General features: G+C 38.0%; 1 long non-coding RNA gene across 4 annotated transcripts; it reads right to left on the bottom strand.

Moving 5' to 3' along the window:
- Nucleotides 1-362: 362 nt before the first annotated feature.
- Nucleotides 363-7,197, bottom strand: LOC105379448 (uncharacterized). Of its 4 annotated transcripts, none has more exons than XR_950683.3 (3): nt 6,066-7,197; nt 2,792-2,842; nt 363-2,478 (listed from the first exon to the last, which is right to left on the bottom strand). It is a non-coding gene; the product is annotated as an uncharacterized LOC105379448 (long non-coding RNA). The 4 variants fall into 4 exon arrangements; XR_950684.3 differs by having other exon boundaries at nt 363-2,464; XR_007061557.1 differs by lacking the exon at nt 6,066-7,197 and having other exon boundaries at nt 2,792-4,376.
- Between the last annotated feature and the right edge of the window lie 2,217 nt (nt 7,198-9,414).

The raw sequence follows: 9,414 nt of genomic DNA, 5'->3' as shown, positions 1-9,414 counted from the left end.
TTGCATGGCAATAACCATGTGATTTGTGAAATCATACTTTGAGCATCTTATTTTAACCATACAAAACAGCGTGGCTCAGAAATTCAATGTGATCGTTTCTCTGGTCAGTGACATATCCCCATGAAGTGAAGCAGCAAGGCAGTAAAGGAACAGGGGTTTTAGTTAAGGGGTAAAATGGGTAATCTTCTTGGAAATTACAAGCAACTGAAGAGCTCATTCCAAAATATGCAGAAATCTCTGAAATCATACATACTTTTTATGTTAGCAAAACTTAAGTGCAAGGAGTCATAATTTAGGTTTATTTAAAGAATGTCTCCAGTCTTGAAATAACCTGAGTGATAAAATAATAATACAATCTTTACTTTTATCTACTTGTTTCTCTTTAATTTTACCACACTTAATATGACATAAAGTAAAATATAACAGTTCTTCAATACATATTTTTCAGAACTAAATAACATTTAAGGGAGATATCGTGATAGTCTTCAAAATATTTTCACCTTAGATTACATATCATTATTTTTTGGTATCAATTTCTAATTTAAAGCTATTTTTCCACTTAGGATCCTAGTTTTTATTTAAATTTTATTTAATTTTTATCTCCTCTTTTTTCATCTATTGTTTTACAGATCGCTTACAATAATTTTCCCTCAGTGCATAGAAAGGAGTGAGCTTGACAACCACCCACCCCCTTGAAAATCAATAGAAGTTGTCTTTTATAATAAAGCTCTCCCTTATTTACTGGAGAAGTGAAGCTAAGTATACAGATGCATCAGCCTGAGTCAGAAAGAGAAGCAGATATTGCTCAGCAGGAAGCCAGGATAGTGGGATTTCCAACTTCCTCTAGGTCGTTTTGTGAAAGGTGGTATCATTTTATGTTAAGACAAATTCCCAGAAATGTTACCACCCTACACACACACACACACACACACACACACACACACACACACACACACGGAGGCAAGGAGGAGGCTACTGTGCCTTGGGCACTTGCCTAGGCATTGCCTGAAAATTACAGATAATTGTCACTAACCAATCTAATTGCAACTGTTAAAAGAAATAACCCTCAATTCAGAGTATTTCCTATTCAAATGCAATACAATTTTTGTTTCTAATATATTAGGTTGCACAGAAACACTAAGATTGTACTTAAATATGGACTGAGGACCATTTTAAACATTACAGTAAAGTAGTGATCACAATTTCATCTGGTTATATTAAAAGTGTTCTGGAATGGTATTGGGAATTGATTTTTTTTTTTTGAGATGGGGCTCTCACTATGTTGCCCAGGGTGGTCTCTATCTTCTGGGATCAAGTGATCCTTCTGCCTCAGTTTCCCATGTGGCTGGTACTACTGGTGCATGCCACTGTGTCTGTCACATTTTTTAAAATCATAAACTGATTCTAAATTATAAATAAATCAAGAGGAAAGACAGAGGACTTACTATGGTGCTATCTTGACAACATCAAAGTAACTAATCCCCAAAAGTTTATTCAAAAATCACAAGTTGTTTCATCTTAGACCCAATTTCTGTACCAAATAAAGCCTATTATACTCCATAATGAAAAGTACAGATAATGAAAAGTACAGAGCCCAGTGATGCTTAAATGATGCCATGTAATCTAATAGCTTTGATGAGTCAGTTTCCAAGATATATAATTATATTCAAAGAGTTCTGTCTGGTTCTGTTGATACTACAATCAAATTCTTCCTTCGCTGCAGACAACACCTTGTACTTAAGCAGAAGCTGAGTCATTCCCCCCACTATACGCCTCTAACAACGGATATGTGAAAGTCTTAGAGCTAAATGTCTGAGTGGTCCTGTTTTATAACAGATCAATAGTTCCTGAAATTAGTATTTGCCTTCCAGGCTAAAATATTTTTTCTACAGTGTTCCAAATATTCTTGCATTTCTTAAAGTCATTGTCATAAATAGCAATGATGCTTTGATAATCCTGATAACAAACTACTTCCAAACTGCAGCAACAGAAGGAAAATGGTAGGATATACAGAAAATCTTTTGAGAAATCCAGAGAGGACTGATATTAGACATAACAGCAATAACCTGTGGCTTTTCAAGAAGAGAAGCGCATTTCTTCCCAATTAAAACTAGGAATTCTCGACAGATATAGTTCACTTTCAAGTGACTAGAATTGTCGCATTCCTTATAATGTCAAATGAAATATTCTTTGTTTCCTATGTTCACCGGCTCCTTGGTCACACTTACTATTTGAGCAGAACAGTCCATCATACATCGAGAAGGCACAGTCACAAGCGATCCCTCTGCGTTTCTCTCACATCTCCCTCAGAGGTGACACACGTGGCCATAGCTATGCAGTGTCCAGCATGCCCTGGCTCCACTCTTGGAGTCACTGTGGCTCTTTCTTTCAGATCCGGGATTGTCCCTTTCAACTGCAGAAAATGAATGCATTCCAGAAAGCCTGGGTCTGGTGGCCATTTCACCTGCAAGGGAAGCACTGCAAATACAAACACATTCTTTTGAGTTTTATTCAAGATTTCATCACCCTGTCAAACTGAGGCCTTATGGAGAATAGCAGAAACTGTGATCACTCAAAAGGTCTCAAGAACAAATATAATTTTGGAAACATACATTTAATGAAATGTTAAGTAATGGCAAATTACTTCATTTATTTATTTACTATATATATTCATATTTTACTTGACACATAATAATTGTACATATTTATGGGGTACAGTGGGATATTTCAGTAGATGTATAAAATGTATAATGATCAAATCAGGGTAATTAGCATGCCCATGACCTCAAACCTTTATCATTTCTTTGTGTTGGTAACATGAAAAATCCTCTCTCCCAGGTATCTGAAAAAAAAGACAACACACTGTTGTTTACTGTGGTTACCCTATAGTGCTGTACAACACTAGAACTTATTCCACCAACTAACTGTAATGTTGCAGAAGACAATACTGACCACATTTGTGAAATATTATTCTAATATGAATGATAATTATAGGTGGGGTTTTATGCTAACATAGCTGCCAAGAATTCCATAAATGAATGCCCACAATTGTAAGCGAGAAAACAAGATTATTCAATTTGGTGTGTGTGTGTGTGTGTGTGTGTGTGTTTCTATTCTCAGGCAGGGAGTTGGTTTTAGTTCTTTTTTTAAGAGGCCCAAACTCATACTACTGTAAGAATTAACTGCAAGTTAATTATTGCAAGTTGAAGTTATTTATAAGACTATGGTATGTATGTACATACACACAATTCTGAATTCACTGTGTAATATTAGTACTCAAAATCATATATATTGTACAGGAGAACAACCTGTGTGATAATTCATGAGTTATCTCAGTCTCTAATTGGACAGTACAATTATTTACTTTAAAATAGATTAGAAATCACCAACAGAGAGCTTTTTCTTTTAAACTAAATGCAAGCAGAGTAAAAAGAAATGTAGAGTAGAAAGAAATGAAGCAAAATATAGGTCTTCCTTTGGGAAAAAAGTCAAGACACAAAAGCAGTTGAAGAGGTGTCTTTCATTTCCTAGAGTGATACACATATTTAGCAGTTCGGTAATTTTTGTTTAACAGCCATATTGAGGCTTTATTGGCATATGATGAACACACATGCTTAAAGTGCAGGACTTGTTAAATTTTTACATATGTATACAACCATGAAACTATCATCACAATTAAAATAAGGAATATATCGATCACCCCAGCAAAATATTCTCCTCCCTCTTGATAACCCCTCCCCCATAACCTCCCTGCTTCCCTCAAATCCCTGGCAACCACAGATCTGATCTCTCTCATGATTAGTTTCTATTTTCCAGAATGTCATATAAATGGAACCACACAGTATTTACTTTTCTTTATCTGGCTTTTTTCTTTCAGCAGAATTATTTTGAAATTCATTAATGTGTAATATGTATCAATAATTCATTCCTTTTTATTGCTGAGTAGTATCTCGTTGTGTGAATATAGCTCAATTTGTGTGTTCATTCATTTGAAGATGGGCATTTGAATTGTGTCCAGTTTTCATCTGTTATAAATAAGCTACTATGACCATTTATGCACAGATGGTCATATGAAAATATCCTTTCATTTCTCTTGGGTAAATACCTAGACAAGAATAGCTATGTCATATGGTAGATATCTGTTTAACATTTAAGAAACTGCCAAATTGTTTTGCAGAATGTTTGTCTTTATGCCAAATTGCTTTGGTTGATTTTATTATGGTAAACTAAACTTGAATTACTGGTATAAGTCAATTTTTTGAAACTTTGTTAAGATTTTTTTGCATCTGTGGTCATGAAGTACTGTATTTTTACTTTTTAAAAATGTCTGTCTAGGTTGGGCATGGTGGCTCACGCCCATAATCCCAGCACTTTGGGAGGTCAAGGTGGGCGGATCATGAGGTCAGGAGGTCGAGACCAGCCTGGCCAAAATGACGAAACCCTGTCTCTACTAAAAATACAAAAAATTATTAGGGCATGGTGGTGGGCACCTGTAATCCCACCTACTCAGGAGGCTGAGGCAGGAGAATCACTTGAACCCAGGAGGTGGAGGTTGCAGTGAGCCAAGATCACGCCACTGCACTCCAGCCTGGGTGACAGAGCGAGACTCCGTCTCAAAAAAGAAAAAAAAATGTCTGTCTGAATGTGGTGTCAGAATAATGCTGGACTTGTAGAATGAGTTCAAAAGTATTCTCTCCTCTTCAATTTTCTGAATGAGTTTATGTTTATTTGTTATTTCTTCCTTAAATGTTTGCTAGAAAACTCCAGCGAAGCCATCTGGGCCTGGAATTTTTGTGGGAAGGTTTTTAACTATAAACTCAATCTAATTAATAGACTATTCATGTCGTCTATTTCTTCTTGAGTCAGTGTTAGTAGTTTACATCTTTCAAGGAATTTGCCTTTACTTCTAAGCTGTCAAACATACTGGCATACAGCTTTGCATTGTAATCTCTTATTATGCCTTTTAATATATGTAATGTATGTAGTGAGATCACCTCTCTCATTACTGATGTTGGTAAATTTTGTCTTTTTTTTCTCTCATTGATGGCAGCAGCTGCAGCCATCATGCGGGCTACAGCAGGGAGGCATGGCTGGGCCTGCATACTCCATGAAGCTGGTGGGAGCCCCACCCCTTCTGAGTTGGGGTATGAGTTCCCTGGTGCGGCTGCAGACCCAGGCCTCCTGCTCTACGGAGCAGGCTGTAGCCCAGCCCAAACTGCAGCTGTGGATCCAAGCTTCCCTGTGCTCTTGGAGGGGGCTGGGAACCGACAGGATCTGCCCTCCTGGGTACAGCTGCAGCCACCCAACCCACTGCTGCAGACCTGGGCTTCCGGCTCCATGGAGCAGGCAGGAGACGGAGACAAGCAGAAGCCCCGCCCCTTCTGAGTTGGCTGGGTGGGAGCTCCCTGGGTGCAACTAAGGCCACCCTCCCAGGCACAGGACCCTGGCATCTTGGCAGCCTGCACCCGCCACCCCCTGCTGGCTCCGGGATGTCTGCTCTCACTGCCTGGCCTCTCTCCTCTTCTGGCACCCTCTTTAATCTCCCAACAGGGTTGGTCGAGCCCTGGGGACTTGAATGGCAGGGGGAGGGAGAGTCCTGGGCAGAAGCGGATGGGTCCCCAGTAAAGCCCCACCTTCAAGCCGGGGAGGGCCTGAAGGCTGGGAGCCAGACTGCCAATCCTGTGGACAGGACTGGGGATCTGTCCCTCCTCTGGGCCGCCAATGGCTGCTCATGGACCAGTTGGCAGGTACTTCTTCCTTTCTGAGGTCCATAAAAGCCCTGGGCTCTGCCAGAGAGGGCAGAGGACAGAGAGACGATGGGATGACCAGCTGCAGAGACGAACTCTCCCCTCTACTGAGAGCTTCAGAGACCTGCAGAGACCTCCAAATGACCAGCCTGCAGAGAGGAGCCACACTCGCCAGGGCCTCCTCTCTGCTGAAAGCTGAACACTCCACCGGACGACCTGCCTGCAGAGAGGAGCAACCCACTGTGGGTCTTCTCTGAGCTGTTCTAACACTAAATAAAACTCCTCTTAATCTTTTTCGCCATTCCTTTGTCTGCGTACCTCATTCCTCCTGGATGCAGGACAAGAACTCAGGCAAAGATGCCACTGTCCACAGAGGTTTCTGGGCAAGAAAATCGACACCCCAAAGATCCTGTAACATCATGATTGGCTGTCTCCACATTTACATCATACAATTCAATTACAAACCACTGCAAAGCAGCACTTATTGATGAAGAGCTGGCTCGTGAGCTGTAAGTGGACATGCCATCAGTGGTGGCAGGTTGTAGCTTAGTAACTTGAAATGATACTTTTTTTACATTCCTCTCTGCCCTCACGTGGTGCTAATAATTGTCATAAAAGGGAGTATATGACTCCACCATGACCTCAAAAGGCCTATTACCCATCTTAAAGGAAAATGTCACTTTTCTGGTGCTAGAAATTGTAGATATGAGAGTTGCTCAAGTTCATTTATAGTGAAGAGAAGTTAGTAGTGTATTTATACAAGCCTAACACTATGAAATGCATATATTTATTAAATACTATGGAAGGAGCCAATGGCAGTGATCCAGAAAACATATGCTTTTCAGTTGAGATAGAAGAGCAAAAGAAATCTCTATTCCTATTGCAGAGAAAAAATAGTAAATATATTTGCTCATAACAACATAACTAAACTGTTTGTGGCTTAATAAATAAAAATATAGTTATTTAAAGGTGGTTCAAGGTTTCCTATATAATCTTACATTCCCCAAATGTGAATTTGCACAGTAACGAATTAAAAATAAAACAAAGCAATATTACTTGTCAATTCAATCAAATAACTTTGTAATTTAGCAGAAAATAAATTGCACCAGTTTGGTTTAAAGCCCTAACTACACATCTATAGTTTCCTTAAATTAATTAAAAGAAGTCATGCAATTTTCACAGAATATCACATGCATGTTATCCATTTTAATTTCTCTTAAAAATGGGTTAGTTGCCATTATCAAACTTTAGACAAGAAATCAAACAGATAAAGTAACAATGAAAGCAACTTAGACATTAGCTGAAGGGTTTATTCCTAATTGCTGAGTACCCATGCTTTATCCACAAAGGGTGATTTACCATTTCTATAAACTGATAGTGAGCTATCCAAAATGGAAATTAAGAATACAATCCCGGCTGGGCGCGGCGGTCACGCCTGTAATCCCAGCACTTTGGGAGGCCGAGGTGGGCAGATCACCTGAGGTCAGGAATTAGAGTGACCAGCCTGATCAACATGGTGAAACCCTGTCTCTACTAAAAAATACAAAAAAAATTAGCCGGGCATGATGGCGGGTGCCTGTAATCCCAGCTACTCGGGAGCCTGAAGCAGGAGAATCGCTTGAACCTGGGAGGCAGAAAAAAAAAAAAGAATGCAATCCAATTACAATAGCAACAAAAAACTTATAAAATACTTAGGTGTAAATTTAACCAAGGAGGTGAAAGAACTGTACACTGAAAACTATAAAACACTGATGAAAGAAAATGGAAGAAAACACAAATAAATGGAAAGATATTTTATGTCCACAAAGTAGAACAATTAATAGTCTAGTTTTTATTTTTAATTTTTATGAAAACATAATAGTTGTACATATTTATAGAATACCTGTGATATTTTGATACAAGCATACAGTGTGTAATGATCAGATATGGGTAACTGGGATATTCATTACCTCAAACATTTATTGTTTTCTTGTGTTGAGAACGTTGTGAAATACAAAATAAATTACTGTTAACTATAGTTGCCCTATTGTGCTACCAAACACTAGATCTTACTCCTTCTATCTATCTAACTGTATTTTATATCCATTAACCAACCCCTTTTCATGCCCTCCTCCCACTACCCTTCCCAGTTTTTGCTAAACACCATTCTGTTCACTACCTCCCATTTTTTTAGCCCACACATATGAGTAAAAGCATGATATTTGTCTTTCTGTATCTGGCTTATTTCACTTAACATAATGTCCTCCAATTCCATCTATGTTGCTACAAATGACAGAATTTCATTCTTTCTTCTGGCTGAATAATATTCCATTGTGTATATATACCATATTTCCTTTACCCATTCATTCATTGATGGATACTTAGGTTGATTCCATATTTTGGCTATTGTGAATAGTGCTGCTGCAATAAACATGGGAATGCAGATATCTCTTTGATACACTGAGTTCTTATCTTTTGGCCATATACCAATTAGTGGGATTGCTGGATCATATGGTAGTTCTATGGTTAGTTTTATTGACAAATCTCCACAGTGCTTTTCAGTGTGGAGATTTCCAGTACCTGTACGAATTTACATTCCTACCAGCAGTGTATGAGCACTTCCCTTTCTCCACATCCTCCTTATCATTTGTCATTTTCTGTCTTTTTGATAATAGCCACTTTAACTGGGGTGCAAGGATATCTCATTGTGATTTTGATTTGCATTTCTGTGATCATCAATCATGTTGAGCATTTTTTCATTTATGTGTTGGCCATTTGATTTTCTTCTTTTGAGAAATATGTCTATTCAGATCTTTTGCCCCTTTCAAAATCAGAGTATTTGTTGTTGTTTTTTTTTTTTTTTTTTTTTGCTATTGAGTTGTTTGAGCATCATGGTGTATTCTGATTATTAATCCCTTATCCGATGAATACTTTGCAAATATTTTCTCCCATTCTGTAGGTTGTCTCTTCACGTTGTTGATTTTTTCCTTTCCTGTGCAGAAGGTTTTTCATTCGATGTAATCCCATTTGTCAATTTTTGCTGTGGTTTCCTGTGCTTTTGAGGTCTTACTCAATAAATCTTTGCTCGGACCAATGTCCTGAAGGATTTTACCTAAGTTTTGTTCTAGTAGGTTCACAGTTTTGAGGCTTACATTTAACTCTGTAATGCATTTTAAGTTGATTTTTGTATATGGTGAGAGATCAGGGTCAAGTTCCACTCTTCTGCATATGGTTACTCAGTTTTCCCAGCACCATTTATTAAAGATACTGTTGTTTCCCCAGTGTATGTTCTTAGGGCCTTTGATGAAAATCAGTTGGCTATAAATACATGGATTTGTTTCTGTGTTCTCTATTTCATTCCTTTGGTGTATATGTCTGTTTTTATGCCATAAACATGCTTTTTATTTTTTATCACTGCAGCTTTGTAGTATATTTTGAAGTCAGATAGTGTGATGTCTCCAGCTTTGTTCTTTTTGTTCAGGGTTGCTTTGTATACTCAGGCTTTTTTGTGATTTCACATGAATTTTAGGCTTGCTTTTTCTATATCTGTGAAGAATGTCACTTGATAGGAATTGTCTTGAGTCTATAGTTAACATTGGGTAGTATGGACATTTTAACAATATTAATTTTTCTAATTCATGAATATGAGTTTTTTTATTTTTTGTGTCCTCTTCAATTTCTTTTATCA

This window comes from Homo sapiens, chromosome 9, assembly GCF_000001405.40.
Source record: "Homo sapiens chromosome 9, GRCh38.p14 Primary Assembly".
NCBI classification, from domain to species: domain Eukaryota; kingdom Metazoa; phylum Chordata; class Mammalia; order Primates; family Hominidae; genus Homo; species Homo sapiens.
The sequence above is the reverse complement of the archived record's forward strand: the minus strand, read 5'-3'. Positions and strand labels throughout refer to the sequence as shown.